Consider the following 18,970-nt stretch of genomic DNA (forward strand, 5'->3'; position numbering starts at 1 on the left):
ATGTATGTCTTCCAAAAGGTACATTACTAATTTTATTTCTGTGCAAAATATATAAATGAAGTCATACACTATAGTACACAGGATATACTCTTCAGTGACTTTATTTTTCCTTTCTATATTTTAGGATCAATTTATGTAAATACATATACCTACAGTTAATTCAATTGCACTGTAATAATATATCATGGTAAGAATTGATATGGTTTGGCTGTGTCCCCACCCAAATTTCATCTTGAATTCCCATATGTTGTGAAAGGGACCCAGTGGGAGGTAACTGAATCATAGAGGCAGGTCTTTCCCATTCTGTTCTCGTGATAGTGAGTAAGTCTCAGGAGATCTGACGGTTATTAAAAGGGGAGTTTTCCTGCACAAGCTCCCTTTGCTTACTGCCATCCATGTAAGACATGACTTGCTCCTCCTTGCCTTCTGCCATGATTATGAGGCTTCCTCAGCCATGTGGAACTGTAAGTCCAATTAAACCTCTTTCTTTTGTAAATTGCCCAGTCTTGGGCACATCTTTATCAGCAGGGTGAAAACAGACTAATACAGTAGAGTTGGTACCAGTAGAGTTTGGTATTTCTGGAAAGATACTCAAAAATGTGGAAGTGACTTTGGAACTGGGTAACAGGCAGAGGCTGGGACAGTTTGGAGGGCTCAGGAGAAGACAGGAAAATGTGTGAAAGTTTGGAACTTCCTAGAGACTTGTTGAATGTCTTTGACCAAAAGCCTGATACTGATATGGACAATAAGGTCCAGGCTGAGGTGGTCTCAGATGGAGATGAGAACTTGTTGGGAACTGGAACAAAGGTGACTCTTGTTATGTTTTAGCAAAGATACTGGTGGCATTTTGCCCCTGCCCTAGAGATTTGAGGAACTTTGAACTTGAGAGAGATGATTTAGGGTATCTGGCAGAAGAAATTTCTAAGCAGCAAAGCATTCAAGAGGTGACTTGGGTGCTATTAAAGGTATTCAGTTTTATAAGGTAAGCAGAGCATAAAAGTTTGGAAAATTTGCAGCCTGACAATGTGATAGAAAAGAAAAAATTCATTTTCTGAGGAGAAATTCAAGCCAGCGGCAGAAATAAGTAATGAGGAGCCAAATTTTAATCCACAGGACAATGGGGAAAATGTCTCCAGGGCATGTTATTGGTCTTCATGGCAGCCTCTCCCATCACAGGCCCAGAGGCCTAGAAGAAAATGGTTTCCTGGGCTGGGCCCAGGGTGCTCATGCTGTGTGCAGTCTAGGGACTTGGTGCCCTGTATCCCAGCTGCTCCAGCTGTGACTAACAGGGTAAAGGTACAGCTTCAGCTGTTGCTTCAGAGGGTGGAAGCCCCAAGCCTGGACAGCTTCCATGTGGTGTTGACCCTGTGGGTGCACAGAAGGCAAAAATTGAGGTTTGGGAACCTCTGCCTAGATTTCAGAGGCTGTATGGAAATGCCTGGATGCCCAAGCAAAAATTTGCTGCAGGGGTAGAGCCCTCATGGATAATCTCTGCTAGGGCAATGCAGAAGGAAAATATATGGTCTGAGTCTCCACACAGAGTCCCCACTGGGGCACCACCTAGTGCATCTGTGAGAAGAGGGCCATCATCCTCCAGATCCCAGAATGGTAGATCCACTCACAGCTTGCACTGTGCACCTGGAAAAGCCGCAGTCACTCAATGCCAGCCTGGAAAAGCAGCCAGGAAAGGGACTATACCTTGCAAAGCCACAGGGGCAGAGCTGCCCAAGACCATGGGAACCCACCTCTTGCATGAGTGTGACATGGATGTGAGACATGGAATCAAAGGAGATCATTTTGTAGCTTTAAGATTTGACTGCCCCACTGGATTTCAGACTTGCATGAGGCCTGTAGCCCCTTTGTTTTGGCCAATTTCTCCCATTTGGAATGGCTGTATTTATCCAATGCCTATACCCCCATTGTATCTAGGATGTAACTAACTTGCTTTTGATTTTACAGACTCATAGGCAGAAGGCATTTGCCTTGTCTCAGATGAGACTCTGTACTGTGGACTTTTAAGTTAATGCCAAAATGAGTTGAGACTTTGGGGGACTGTTGGGAAGGCATGATTGGTTTTGAAATGTGAGAACATGAGATTAGAGAGGGGACAGGGGAGGAATGATATGGTTTGGCTGTGTCCCCACCAAATTTCATCTTGAATTCCCACGTTGTAGGAGGGACCTGGTGGGAGGTAATTGAATCTTGGGCACAGATCTTTCCCATGCTGTTCTCGTGGTAGTGAGTAAGTCTCACAAGATCTGATTATTATTATTAGGGGGAGTTTTCTTGCACAAGCTCTCTTTGCTTGCTGCCATCCATGTACGACATGACTTGCTCCTCCTTGCCTTCTGCCATGACTATGAGGCTTCCCCAGCCACATGGAACTGTAAGTTCAATTAAACCTCTTTCTTTTGTGAATTGCCCAGTCTTGGGTATGTCTTTATCAGCAACGTGAAAACAGATTAGTACAGAATAAGCCATAATTTATTTATCAATTATATTGTAAATAGATTATTGAGTTGTTCCTCATTTTTCTGTTTGTGTGTTTGTTTTACTATTATGCAAATTTTGTTGCTTTACAAAAATTCTCATCTATGTCACATTATGCACATGTGCAAGAGTTTAACATACATACCTCGTAGTGAAATTTCTGGCTCATAGAAGAAGTACATGTTCCACTTTGCTAGGAATTGTCAAAATAATTTCTAAAATGTTTTTTTCAATAAAGAATTGCACCAGCAGAGAGAGAATGTTGTTGTTGTGTCAGCTTTCTGCCAAAAGTTGGTAATATCTGACTTTTCAGTTATCATCTTTTCCTTAAGGAAGACCTGCGTCTGTTTTGTATCTTAAGAAAACGTTTTTATTAATCCGATGACATACGTAATGAACTGAATGTTAAGTCCTTCCTAGTTTTATATGTTGAAGCTCTAACCACCAATGATGGTATTTAGAGGTGCGGCTTTTTGGAAGCAGGTAATTAGGCTTAGATGAGATTATGAGGATAGGGTCCTCATGATGGGGTTCATGCCTTTCTAGAAAGAAACTAGAGAGATTTCTCTCTCTCTCCACCATGTGAGGACACAGCAAGAAGATGACTAGCTCCAAGCCAGAAAGAATGCCCTCACCAGAAACCAAACTAGCCTATACCTTGATCTTGGATTTCCAGCCTCCAAAACTATGAGAAATGCATTTCTCTTATTTAAGGCTTTAAGCCTATGCTATTTTGTTGTGGAGCCCAAGCTGACTAATACACATACATATATTTTACTATATTGACATTGACCGAGTTTTGAACTTTTCATTTAATATTACTAGGATTAATTTTTGTTTATATGGAGTGGGTGTGCAATATCACATTTTTCACATCCATAACCCAAGTCCCAGCTTTTTAATTGAAATTCTGTAATTTCTGTACTAAGCTGCCATGCTATATCTATCACATTTTAAAAGTTCATGTATGAAGTTCAGCTCTTCTCAACTTAGATTCTATTTGATTCCTTGTCCTTGTTCTTTGTTCCTATTTTGTCTTTGTCTTTACTGTTTTTCTGTTTTGTTTCTTTTTGTGGTTTTAATTGAGCATTTTATGATTCCATTTTCTCTCCTTTTTTAGCATAACTAATTATACTTCCTTTTTTACTTTTTTTAGTGTTGCCCTGTAGTTTGCAATTTACATTTACAACAAATCTATACTCACTTTGAAATAATACTATAAAGCTTCATGTGTTGGTCAAGTGCCTTATAATAAAAAAAATAAGATCCTAATTTCTTCCTCCCTTTTCTTGTATTATTGTTGTCATTTCTTTCATTTATGCATAAGCACACATAAGCATACATATGTAATATGTATATATATAAATATATAAAATAATCAAATATATTGTGGTCATTATTTTAAACAGACTTTTATCAGTTGGGTTGAATAAGAAATATAAAAGTGTATATTTTACCTTGACACTTCCTTACTTGAATGCTCTTTCTTTATGTAAGTCCAGTTTTCTGACCTATTCTATTTTTCTTCTCTCTGAAGAACCTTTTAACATTTCTCGCAAGGCAGGTCTACTGGCAACAAATTTTCTCAATTTTTGTTTGTCTAAGAAAGTCCGTATTTCTCTCTCACTTTTGAAGGATAATTTTACAGGGTGTAAAATTCTAGGCTGGTGTGGGTTTCTTTTTTTTATTTTCTCAACATTTCAAATATTTTCCTCCACTCTTTTCTCACTTGTGTGTTTTCTGAGAAGTCAGATGTTATTCTAATCTATTCTTCTGTAGGTAAAGTTTGTTTTTTTTAAATTATTTCCTCTGGCTTCTTTCAAGTATTTTTTCTTCATTGATTTTCTGCATTTTGCATATAATATGCCTAGGTTTTTTGGCATTTATCTTTGTTGTTTTTTTCTGAGCTTCCTGGAACAATAGTTTGGTCTTTAACATTAATTTGGGGGAAACGCTCAGTCATTATTGTTTAAAACATTTCTTCTGTTTATTTCTCTCTCTCTTCTCCTCCTAATATTCACATTACACACACTTTATGGCTTTTGTAGTTGTCTCATAGTTATTGGACATATTTTTTCAATCTTTTTTTCTTTGCCTTTCAACTTTGGAAGTTTCTATCATGAGATCATTAGCATGAGGAAAACTCAGCAATTCTTTCCTCAGTCATGTCCAGTCTATTAATGAGCTCATCAGAGACATTCTTTATTTTATAGTGTTGTTGTTGTTCTTCAGCATTTCTTTTAGATTCTTTCCTCTTTCCACTCTTTTCATCTTTCTGCTTACATTGCCCATCTATTCTTGTATGCTATCTATTTTATCCATTAAAGCCTTCAGCATATTAATCATAGTTGTTTTAAATTCCAAATCTAATAATTTCAAAATCCCTGCCATATCTGAGAATGGTTAAAATGTTGTTCTGTCTCTTCAAACTTTGTTTTGCTTGGTTTGGGGGGAGTTTTCTTTCCTTTTATTATGTCTTATATATTTCTTTCTTTCTTTCTTCCTTTCTTTCTTTGGATAGCTGGATATGATTTATTAGGTAAAAGGAACTATGGTCAAGAGGCCTTCAGTGGCATGGTGGTAAGATGTGGGGAGAAAATCCTTGCTTAGGTCTGTCTGTTAGTGAGCCTGGGACTCTACACTGTGATCTTCACAACCGCTTCTGTTTCTGGCCTTAGGTGAAACAGGATGGCTAGAATGGGCTGAAGTTGGGTATCTCCCAGCCCCCAGATCAGTTAGGTTCTGACAAGACTCCAGCAGGTCTCCCAAAATATTTTCTCCTGAGGTAAGTCTTTGTAGAAAGTACAGAATGCTCTGGTATATTTCAGTATGGTTCCTTTTCCTCTCCTCTACTGGAAGCAGAAGGGATTTTTTTTCTCCAGACTTCGCTGGAAAATCCTGGTTGAGCTCTGAATGTAGAATACGAAAACTTTGGGACCTCCCTCCGTCAGGATTCCTCTGGAGTTTTAAATTATCAGACTTGTCCACACTAAGCTTTGAGAAATTCTTCAATTACAGTTTAGATTTTCTTACCCAAGCACTGGTTCCCATAGAGGTTTCTGTCTGTGGATTTCTGCTTTGGTAGATTGAGATTCTGTACATTTGCCTGTCTCTCCAAATTTGAAGATCAATGATTTTTCCCCTTGACTTCATTTATCTGAGAAATCTAAGAAGGATTGTTGATTTTCATTTGTTCAGGTTTTTCACTTGTTAGGATGGAGTGGCAACTTTCAACTCCTTACATGCCAAATCAGAAACCAGAAGTCCCCCAATGAATTTGTAAGTATTAACATTTTCTGCTGTAATAAACATTTTTTCTAATCTTTGTTAATGGTTAATATTTTAAATAAAGTTTTTGTTTCCATACAATAAAATTCACTGTTTTGCAACAGCTCTGTAACCGCCACCACAGCCAAGATATAGAAATATCTCCCCTCCAAAAATATTCAGTTGTATCCCTTTTTAGTGATCCTTATCATTGTATCAAGCTGTTGTGTACATCTGTAGTTTGTACCTCTTATTTGCTGTGTAGTATTCTGTTATATGGATGTACCAGTTTATTTACCTGTTCATCAAGTGAAGGATATTTGGGTTGTGTGCGGTTGTTAGCAATTATAAATGCTAACACTTATAAATGCTATAAACATTATTAATGAAGTAGAACTTGAAAAGCATTACCATTTGATAATAATAAACCACAAAATATTTAGGCATAAATCTAGCAAAATAGGAACAGGATCTATAAACTCAAACTGTAAATCTCATGAAAGAAAAGAGAACACCTACCAAATTGGGAAATAAAGTATTTTATATTATAAATATAACCCTGTAAGTATTCCATTATAAATATTCTAATATGTGATAATATATTATTGATTATAAATATTCTAATATTCAATGGTATAGTAAGAAAATAATTAACAATAACATATAGTATTTTTCAAAGAAGCTAGGTATTTGTAGTGTTCCCAACACAAAGAAAAATATTTTAGGTGATGAACATCCCAATTACCCTGATTTGATCAATACACGTTGTATACATATATCAAAGTATCACACATACCCACAAAATATGAACAACTATGATATATCAACAAAAATAAAAATAAATAAATATTTGTAGACAGGCTTTTGCATGAACATAACTTTTCATTTCTGTTGGGTAAATACCACTGGGATTGCTAAATCATATGTTAAGAATGTGTATAATTTTATAAGAAACTGCCAGTTTTCCACAGGAACGTGATAGCTTACCTTCTTACTAGCAGAGTATGAGCATTCTGGTTGCTGCTTATACTTTCCTGCACTTGGAATTATCCATTTTGTTGTGGTTTGTGTGTGTCTGTGTTTGGACATTCTAGTAAGTTAGTGGTGGCATGTAATTGTGTTTTTAATGTTCATTTTTCTAATGACTAATGATGCTGAGAATCATATGTAATTATTTGTCATTCATACACTGTTTTCTTGTGAAGTGTCTACACAAATATTTTGTCCATATTTTAAAACTGCCTTATTTGTTCTTTCCAAGCTAGGTTACTTGTAAATAGCTTATTCCAATCTATACTCTGTCTTTCAATCCTCTTAGCAATCTTTTTCAAAAGGCAGAGATCTTTATTTTGATGAAGACCAATTTATCACCTTTTTTTCTTTTATGGATCATAATCTATAGGTAGTAGCTAAAAAAACTTTGTCTAAGATGAGATTTAAAAATTTCCTTTTATGTTTTCCTCCAGAGGTTTTATATCTACAATTAGCTTTATGATCTGTTTTGAGTTGTTTTTTGCATAAAGTAAAACAAAGAGCTGAGGTTTTGGGTTTTGTTTTTATTCTTTTTGCATATATGTATTCAATAATTCTAACATGTTTTCCAAAAGATCATTTCTTCTTGAATCAATTAACATTGTTATTTTGTCTAAAAACAATTGATCATGAAAGAATGGGTGTATTTCTGGATTAACTATTATGTTATATTGAAACGTAGTTATCTTTTCAGCAAAACAACACTGTTTTATTGTTGAAGCTTTATAGGATGGCTTTAATTTTTTATCAGAACAAATTTTGTTCTTTTTCAAAATTGTATAGCTAGTCTAGTTTCTAGTTTATTTTTATCCCCATGTAAATTTTAGAATTAGATTTTTGACTTATGCACAAAAACATGCTGGGATTTTGATTGGAGATGCACTGAATCTCAACACAATTGCACTGAATTTAAACTAACATCAATATTCAGTATTCCAATTCATAAAAAGGCTGCATTTCCCAATTTTTTAGTGTTCTCTTTTCTTTCATGTGATTTACAGTTTAGTTTTAGAGATCCTGTTCCTATTTTGCTAGATTTATGCCTAAATATTTTGTGAGGTTTAGTATTATTAAATGGTAATGCTTTTCAAGTTCTACTTCATTGATAATGCATAGAAATGTAATTAACTTTTCTTTACTGACCTTATATCCTGTATTCTTGCTAAACTCATTTTTATGTTCTAGTGCTTATAGATTTCTTGGGATTTTTTAACATATAGAATCATATCTTCTGAGTGAATAATGATGATTTCATTTTTTAAGTCTTTAAGCTTTTATTTTATTTTATTTTATTTTTTGCTTCACTGTATTGATTAAGACCTCCAGTATAATGTTCAATAGGATTTGTGAGAGTAGACACCCTTGTGTCTTTCCCAAGATTAAGGGAAAGGCATTTAATTTTTCACCATCAGCTCTGATGTTAGCTAGAGGAATTATTGTTTGTTTTTAATGGGTTTCCCATTATTAGGTTAGGAACATTCCCTTCTAGACAAGCTGCTGAGAGTTTTAATCACAAACTGATCTTGGATTTTTTCAAATAATTTCTCTAATTCTCTTTGGAGGTTGTCATATGGATTTTCTTCTTTATTCTGCTCTTATGGGGAATCAGATTGATTGCATTTCTAGTGTCAAATGCTTTTTATTCCATTATAGGCTATCTTTTTGGTCATTATAGGCTATCTTTTATATATTGCTAGATAAATTTACTACTATTCCAATAAGAAAGTTTGTTTCTTTATTTACCATCAATATTGGATTGCAGTTCTAATTATTTATAATGACTGTGGTTTTGGTATCATAATACTAGCTGCAAAAAAAAACGTGTTGAGAAATATTCCACTCTCTTCTGTTTCTGGAAGTGTTTGTGTAATTAGTTTAATTTCATTAATACTTGTGTTTTTTCTTTCCTTCTATGTGCTCAGTATATAATTTATCCTTGTTTGTCTAAATTTTCTGAGTAGAAACTTAGATTACTGACTTGACCTGTAAAGTTTCTTCTTTTCTAAAATCGGAATTTAATGCTATAATTTCTTTCTAAAGACTAATTTAGCTGAATCAAACAATTTTGAAATGTTGAGGTTTTCCTTCGTTCCATATTTTTTAACTTTCCCTGTGATATCTTCTTTGACCCTTGGGTTATGTCTAAGTCTGTTGTTTGATTTTACATACTGCAAAATTTCCAGGTTTTTTGTTAACGAATTCTAATTGAATTGCAATTTGTTCACAGAAAATACTTTCTATAATTTTATTTTTAAAATATGTTTTATGTTTAGTTATATTGCCTAGAAAATGGTTTATCTTAATGAATGTTCCATGTGGTCTTGGAAAAAATCTTTTTCTACAATTGTGGAGTAAAATGTTTCATAAATGTTAATTAGGGCAAGTTGACTAATAGTGTTCTTCAGATCTTCAATATTATTGCTGATTTTCTGCATAATTGTTTTATTTATTGCTGTGAAAGAATAGTTGAAATATCCAAAAACGATTGTAGGTTTTTCTATTTCTTCTTTTAGTTCTGCCAGTTTTTGCACCACGTATTTTGAAGTTTTATTTTTAGGTGCATAGACATTAAATTTTTATATCATCTTTAAAATTTACCTTTTCATCATTATCTAGTGTCTTTTTATCCCTAGTAATAGTCCTTTTTCTGAAGTCTACTTTATCTGATATTAATAGCCTTCTAGTTTGCTTCCGATTTATTAATATAAATCATGATTTAGGCATTTATCCCTTTTGTAATTTGCTTAGCTTCTTAAATCTATAAATTCATGTCTTTTGCCCTTATCATAAATAATGTTACTGTGTATGTATGGATTTTATTCAGTCCCAACAGTCTGTTGGTCATCTATTCTTTTGCCAATACCGATTTGTTTTAATTACTTAATAAGCCTTAATATCTAGTAGTGAAAGTTCTATTAATATATTCTTGTTGCCCTCTCTCTCATGTATATTTATTTGTATGTGTGTCTGTATGTGTATACAGACTTTGTATATCAATTCACAGATATACAAATGCAAAATATTTGCTGAGATAACTAGTTTTTGTCTTTGTTTTGCCAAGTAGTATTGGTTGGACAGTCAGTGAAATGTTGTGTGAACGGAAAATATCTTGGGACCCCAAAATCACTAAGGAAAACTTAAGTTGGAAATTGCTTAGGGAAAACCTTCCTCTCGTTCTGTTCAAAGTCACTAAGATAGATACATACCTGATTGCCTCCTTTGGAGAGGCTAATCAGAAACTCTTGTTTGTCTTTAGTTAAATTGATTCCTAAGTATTTTGTGAGGTTTTATAACTATTTTATGAATGTTTTATTTTAAAGTTGTTTGTTTCTAGTATATACAAAACCAAAACTTTTTGTAAATTAAACTTGTATCTTTTCACCTTGCTAAACTTTTCTTTTTTGCTACATTATAATAGCCTCCCCTGCCCCCCATAAAATAGTGAATGAGAGTGGTAAAAACAAGCACCTTCACATCATGATCAAACTTCGATATGTTGCAATTAAAAGTGAGACTAGCTGTAACATTTTTTTAATTAATTTTTTTTGCTTTTTCTTGTTCTTTTATATATATATAAAATACTTTAAGTATTATAACTATATTATATATATAATATATATAAAATACTTTAAGTTCTAGGGTACATGTGCACAACATGCAGGTTTGTTTGAGACAAAGTCTCGCTCTGTCACCCAGGCCAGAGTGCAGTGGCGCGATCTCGGCTCACTGCAAGCTCTGCCTCCCAGGTTCACACCATTCTCCTGCCTCAGGTTCCCAAGTAGCTGGGGCTACAGGCGCCCGCCACCACACCTGGCTAATTTTTTTAGCTGTAAGATTTCTATAGGTTACCTTTGTTAGTTTTTATCTTGAGTGATTGTTGAGTTTTATCAAGTGGTTTTCCACAATTTTTGAAATTACCACCTGACAGTTCTGCATTATTCTGTTAGCCTTGCAAAGCACATTGATTATTTTCTAAATGAAAACCATCTTTGTATATTCGAAGTAAACCCCACTCTGTCATGCTGCATTCTTTTATATGTGTCTCTGAAATCATTCTGTTAATATTTTGTTAAAGAACTTGTAGTTGTATTCCCATAGACTCAAAATAGGTCTATAGTGGTCTGCAGTATATTTGAAATGTCTTTGTATTTTGAAGGTATAAAACATACTGTAAGCTGTTCCTTCCATCCCTATTTTAGGGAAAAAAAAATGCAGTTTTCTGTGTAAATTTCATGAAATTACTATTTATATTTATATTTTTCTGTGTTTTTAACAGTTTTTGAAGTTTCTGAATTTAGTTTTCAATTCTTATGTAGTTTATCTGTAAATTCTTGGGATTTCCTCCACATAATATCAATCTATCTTTAAATAATGACAGTTTTATTCCTTATCTAACCTACTATTTTTTTGTCTTGTTTCATACGTTGGACATGCAGAGAAATGTCAATGTGCTTTGCATGCTTTAAAAATTCCTTATAATACTCATATTAAATTGAGAACTTAACATGACTAGAGGCTTGAAATCAGTAAACAGGCTATTGCACCAGTCCAAAAAAGGTGATTATATGTTCCTGAATAAAGAAATATAACAAAAATATATATTTTAATACGAGAAGAAATGGGAAGAGAATGGATTTGAGAGAAATTTAAAAGATATACTTCATGATAATGAAATAGGAATGAGTTATTTGTGGACAGGTAATAAAGTCCAGATGACTGCAGAAGAGAATAGGGGACATTCATGTGAGAATAACTACATATTAAAATAAGATAATCATATTCTTGTAAAGGATGCTTTATTTTGAAATGAAGAAAGACAAATGTCTTTCAGTAGTGGTCAAATTCTCCAGTCACAAAATAGTTGAAACTGCAAAGGAAACATTTTAGCTTCAAATAAAATTATTTTCTTTATTAGAATATTTGTTTATAATATAGTTCAGTAAGAAAAGTGAGTTTTGACATAAATATGTTTTATTAATGTCTCTGGAACACATGTAGTTTTTCAGTTTGGTCTATACCTATCATGATAAGATTGAGAAAATTATGTAAACTGTCAGCCTGAACAAAAAAGGTATGGCAAAAATGTGATATGACAAACAGCATCCTATGATGGAACCAGAAAATGATAGCTTGATGTCTGTCTTTAGCACATGTGATAAAGAATGGGGAAACAAAAACATTACCAAACATTTCTCATCAATCTTGACAATAATTAGGTGCTTCTACCACAATAACGAGCTTAGTATTTTGGAGATGAGTGATTACTGGTAAAAATACAGTGTTTCATAATTTTTATAAGGAGTACAAGAAACTCAAACTAACCATTTAGTATGTGGTGAATATGCCTTTGAGTGATTTTTATATTTATTGCAATATAAACTGCAGGAGTATTTATGTGTCACAGTAGCAATAATGTAAGAAGATTAAATCAAGATTCCTACTCTCTCCAAATACTATAAAGATATCATAAACCTTAGATTATAAACAAAGTTGAGGTTAATATTTACCTTAAATAATTTAATACCTAACTTCAATAAAATATCTAAAAATTAAGCACTCAAACCTGATTGTATGAATATAGGGAATAAGAGTGAGTGTTCTAATATGAATATATTTGATATCTAATGAACACATGGCAATGTGAAGCAAAAAGGTAAAAAATTAATGTTTAATAGAAATAGTGATAGTTGGCACCATTTTTTATTGTATTTAAAATGAGTGTGTTCAATGTTTCGAAATAAATGTAATTATTACTATTGTTATTTCCCCCATGCCATTTATTGTTTTAGTTTAAGGAAGCTTCTTGCTCATTCTAGTTTAAGACCTTAAATTAGTGAACATGTTTTACAATTTATCTACATTAAAGTTACATCTATATGATGGTCATATTATCACACTTTTATTGCAAATTTTTAATGTGGAAAAAATAACTGATTTTCCAATGTTAAATAAACCTTACAGAACTGCTAGACTAACTGCTATGGCTATCTGAAGAAATTAGCAAATACTCTTCCTCCCAAAAAGTAGAAATCTTGGCAAAATTGTTAGAAATAACCATGTCAGTGCCATGAAAATTACCCAAAAACAAACATCAAATTTAAAACCATTTATCATGAAAAGCTGCTATGAATAGCAGGACATTGTAGTCTTTTTTATCAGAATTTCTCCTATTCCCTCTAGGTCGGCAGTGTTCCCAAGGCAATGCTGGCTATTAGAAATAATAGTCATGCTGCCAGGATAAATGGATTTGATTCGAGACAGATTGTGGAAATACATGAAAGTGGTTTGTTGATGAAAGTAGAAACCTCAGTAGAAAACAAATGAGAAACCTTCAGAGCTTTGCTAGCCTAAGTTTATGGAACTGGTTATGGGAGTGGAATACCAGTCAGATTTTATGGGGTAGTTATATGTGAGAGAGCCATGCAAGAGACAAATAAGTTCTTCCTACATCCATAGCTGACTAAGAAATTAGTCAAAAAAGAGATCCATAACAGGCCCACAGAAAGCAAAAAATCAAAGGTAGTGTATAAAATGGTCAAACTTCAAAGTGCTCACAAATCCACATACAAATCCAATGACAAAGGATGAAAAGCCATATAGACTTGAGATGTTTGACTATATCTGTTCAAATAATTAACTGATCACTCATTTATGCAGTCATAAGAGCAACCAGTAAGAAGTCAAGCAAAGTAAAATAAAAAATAATAAAACATAATTAAATACATAAGTGGCTACACCCCATGAGGAAAATAGATTCATTGTTTAAGACAAATTACAAAAATCCTTCAGAGAAATATATCAGAATCAAGAGTTGCTAAAATACATTATATAAATTTTTATTTTTCAACAAAACATGCAACATGGAAAGAAACAGTAAATTGAGACCTATACTTGGAAAAAATAAAAAGCAGGCAATAGAAACTGATTCCAAGTGGGCCCAGATGTTAGCTTAGCAGAAATATTTCAAAGTAGCTATTCTGAATGTATTTAAAGATTACACGACAGTATGAAGACAATGGTTCAAAAATGAGAATCTCAGTAAATGCATAAAAACTAAAAAATAAAATGAGAAATTCAGAACTGAAAAATATAATAAACAAAATAGAAAATTCACTAAAGAAATTTAAAAGCATATTTAAGATGGTAGAAAAACAACAATCAGTAAACTCGAAGATTAGTCAATGAGAATTATCTGGTTGAATAACAGAGAAAGAAACAAATGTATCAATTAAGAGAGTCTTAACATACACACACACACAAGTATATGTGTGTTTAAGAGTAACAGTACTAAAAACAGGGAGAAAGGGAATTATATTGGAGCAAAGTTTCTATTTTCAACAGAATTAACCTGAAGTACATTGTGATTAGTTAAAATATGTAATGCCATACCTACAGCTGTCACCACCAAAATTCATCTTTATTTAGATGAATGAGAAAGGAATGTATGAGGCCAGTTTCTCCCTGTTTCTACCTATGGTTTCTACTCCTTCTCACCTATTTATATTCTCTTGGGCTTCTTCAGAGCAGAAGTTAACTGCTGCTCTAAAGGTGATCTGGCAAATTGTACTCACCTGGTTTGGCAGATGTTTAAACTTACATTTTCTCAAATGGACCCTTTTTCTTGGGTGTACTTGAAATGTAGCTCTCCACCCAATCATTGGTGATCTCTCACTTGAGCTTTCTTTAGTGTGTGCAAATCATCTCCTCTTTCTGATCCTTCTGCATCCTAAGCTATATTTTTATATTATTTCTTTTCTGGTCTTTCCCCTCCAGGCAGTTCTCTTGGGCAGGATCTAAAACCCCTCCCTAACAAGACCTCATCTTCAGAGGAGCCAAGAAGTCACGGTCACACATACTTAAGATTTTTCAGGCACGATTCAGAACAAGTTCATCCCATACAACATGCTCCAAGAAACCCAAATACACTATCCCAGTGGCATTCCTTAGGCTTCTTTTTCTAGACTTGAGTATAGAACAAGGTATTTAATTTTTCCCATTGAGACATGGGAGACAATAACAGTCCCAGCAACCCAACAGCTCTCCAGAATTATCTTCAAATAGTTATCTTCTCTCTCTCACACGGTACCCTCTTTGGGGTTGACAGCTGAGCATTGCAAAACTGGTTTTTGACCATGTTCTGTTTTGATGATTCTGCCTTTTGGTAGCATATATAATTGGAGCTATGCTCCTCAGAACCGGACCAAAACTGAGGCAGCCGAACTCCCATTTTTAGCACTTTCCTATATTAGTGTTGGAACCCAACTTGGTCTTAAACTTTCTTACAATACATATTGATATATTTGTGCATAATGTTTAAATAGCCTTAACAATAATTCTGTTGATCTGTGTAGATCTCTGATCTACACAAACACTCTAATACCAGCCTCCATTAATAGGAAGTTTGGGATGACTCAGCCTTTATAAGAAAAAAAATCCTTGAATATTATTCCATCATTCATGCTTTGTTCTATTTCCATGTGTTCTTGATTTCTAATCTCCAATTTTCACTTCTATTTTGGGCCCCACTCTCACCCTTTGGGCTAATAAGAGATATAGCTTCTTTTCTTTTTACCATTTTTTAATATCTTTTGTAAGACATTATTTTCCACCAATTTCCTACCTCTACTGGCTTCAGATAAATTTGGGTAATTGTCCTATCCATTTGGGCACAGTTGTTCTCCTCCACTGAAACTGACCTGTTGGTTTCCTAAGGAAGGATTACAATTTATCCATTTGCATGCTAGAACTCTAATACCAATTTTGGCTTTGTTTAGCATTCCCAGATGGGCCCTAGGCACATGGGAGGAATTGATGAAATTGAACTAGTAATCTAAAACTTGGCACAACCAAAAGAAAATGCACTTACTGACCTAAAGACACAGTGAACATTTTTACAGTTAATAAAGATAAACTCAGAGGAAAAGGTTCTGTTCAGGTTATAAATTTTAGTAGTATAAGCATGAGAGGATATAGTCTGCTTTGATAGAAGTAAATATAGAAAGAATTGTGGAGATTATTTATCAGGAATAAAAAGATTAAGGAAAATGAGATGTCTATGAATCTATATACCTGAATATACAATTATATTTGATCTGATTGAAAAGAGAGGCAACTTTTTAACATACGAACTTTAAGTCCCTAATGAACCTGTATCACTGGAGCTATGAACAAATATATTGGCAAATTATGTATTGGCAAATTATGTGAATTGTCCATATAATTTAAATCAAAACTATGCATGTGTGCCTATAGTATTGATTTGCAATATCTGTTAGCTAATTTTGTTTCCTTTTTATCACTGAATAACTTGATGGATCATCTATAAAAGTAAAATACAATTACTGGGGAAATATTCATGCCACCTATATCCTATCAGGTCATACTCAATAAGTTTAAATTCTATAGGTAATATTCAAATAATACTCCCCCAAAATAGATTCTACAACATCTTATATGACTTATTTAGATGCATTATTTTAACTTTAAATAGTTTTTCATGTAATTCAGTTAGACTCAGAGTGTAATAAATAAATTATTGGTCAAAGAGCACAGAAAACTTCATAAGTCATTTGGGCACCTATCAGTTTACAGTATCAAAAGTGTATAAACAACTCACTTTCTAAAATACTTAGTAGACTACACAGAAGTTACTATATATTTTCTTCACAGATTAACATAGGAATGTGCTGCAATAGGCCTCTCTATTGTCATTTAGTCTCATCATTACTTAGCCAAATCCCAGATCACATGCCCCAACCCCCAATTTGATAGTACTTCAGACCCCCCACTGCAAACAAATAAACTAATAACCGTTTTTATCTTCACTTTGCAGTGCAGTTGCAGAAATCACTTATCTTTTACTAGTTCATTTGTTTTCTAGAGACAAACCACTTAATGAAATTTCAGAGAATTTTAAATAGTCAACTGTTCAGAATTCATCATATTAACAACTAGACCATTTGAGGTAGGAACCACAACCATGTTACTGCATGGGCCCTCCTCAAATGCCAAATCAATGAAGACTATCATTGATGATTGATAAATATATATTTGTTTAATTGATATTACACTGTACACTGTAGATTTGGCCAAAGGGAACAATGAAGTCAATGTCATCTCTCAAAATAAAATTATTGTCCTATTTTTTCAAACATCTCACTTTCTCATTTAATGGAAATTATCTTAACATTTATGTAATACACACCTAATTGAAGAAAAACCTAGAAACAAATAGTCATAATTTTTACTTGATATGTAAGTTAATCAACAGAACCTTAGAAATAAGTTATGAATCATTTTGATTTGACAGGGTGATATAATTAGATTTTGGCTATAATGTTGATTAATGCAGATGGTTTCTGGTAGAACTTTATTAATTAAAAACAAACAAACTTTTAATTAAATGAAATATTTTAGGTCCTTATTCATGTTAGGAGAAAGATAAAGATACAAAAGATAAAAGTTTCTATACAAACCAGAAGTGGACATTTTTGATTAAAAATATTTTCAAGAAAGTTATACCAAATACTCTCACTCTCTGCTTTTACTGTTGTCATTTTTAAAATGAAGAGCCTTAGGGAAAGGATGATGACATTTAAATAATAAAACTAATGTTTATTAAATATTTACTATGTTCAGGGCACTGTGTTAAACATTTTCTATGCATTATCTACTAGAATACAGAAACAAGGGTATGAAATACATTGTTAGGTATTTCAAATTGAAAATTAATCAAATTGTCTAAGGCTGACAGTAAATTTTGGAATAAATCCATGCTGCCTGACATTGAACCTGAGTTTTAACCACTGTTATAATTGTATAAGATAATATTATATTATAAAAACATGATAATGTAGAATTATATAATAAAAAACAGTATAATATAGTGTTATATTATTAAAACTTTATGATATAGTATTGTATTAGCAAAATAGTATAATATGGTATTATATTAAAATACTATTATAATAACATTAGAATTTAGTATTATAATAACATGACAGTATTATCTTAACACTTTAAATCTTATATGAAAACAACATTATAATATGGTATTATAATAACTTATAATGTGGTATTATATTATAATAACATTATAATATAGTATTACAGGTAGGTTTTACTTTGGTTCCTTATATTACTTATTTTTCATTCCGTCTTCACTTTTGGATGATCACTTACTATAGTACTATTGTAACATGGTATTATATTGTGATAACATTATAATATAGTATCATGTAATATTATATCCTAAAGAAATATACATATATATAATCATATATACATATGTAGATGAAATATATAATCTTGATTGTCTCCACAACAAGGCAAAAGTAGACTAGGCTTTAGATATATTTTCAACCAGGGATAAGTTTCATGCCAAGTAAGTAAACAGATTAAATTTTGCTGTAATGAGTTTTCTTATATACCATTGTTCTTCATGTTCTGAAGCAAGCCTTAGCAGCTTCATGTGAACATGACTAAGAAATCCAGTTAACAGCAGTGTCCTCCTGGAGTTCTCTCTTGAAAGTTGATATTCACAGCTACTATTTGCTAAACCTCAAAAATAATCATCCAACAGTGAAGAGAAGGAAGCAAAAACAAATGATAGAAGGAACCAAAGTAAAGCCTACCTATCTTTGCTGGGTAAATGGCATTTAGTGCTGTGTCTAAGACCTGTAGTGTAGGGAAAGTGATCAGACTGAAAATAAAGAATTGTGATTAGACTTTAACATATTGCTAGCCATTTAAAGAAATGTTAAAATGCTAGCCATTTAAAGAAATATGATTAAATCAGGCCAGCACATTCTAGAAAGAAAAGAATAGTTTGTATTTTCTCTACAAAATTACCTTTTAGAAATGTATTTGAGACTTCCAGTGTAGAAAAGATGACATAGACCCATGTTGCTCTTTTTCTCTCTGCTAAGCACAACTATAAATCTTAGAAATGATAAAGAGATAACCAAAGGAGAACTCTGAAATGGGTAAGAAGAAGAGAATCTGGTTTGGGATCCCAGGACTGGAGGAACAACAGTAGGATATCTTGCATACCACCACCCAACAGAGGAAGACCACCCAGACCTGACTGTTCTTGATCTCTATTTGATCAACAAGAGGCAAGTCAAATAGTCTCATTCCTCCCATGGACCAAATGGGAGTCTCTCTGATGACATCACGAGAG

The sequence above is a fragment of the Homo sapiens genome, chromosome 7 (assembly GCF_000001405.40).
Source record: "Homo sapiens chromosome 7, GRCh38.p14 Primary Assembly".
NCBI classification, from domain to species: Eukaryota; Metazoa; Chordata; class Mammalia; order Primates; family Hominidae; genus Homo; species Homo sapiens.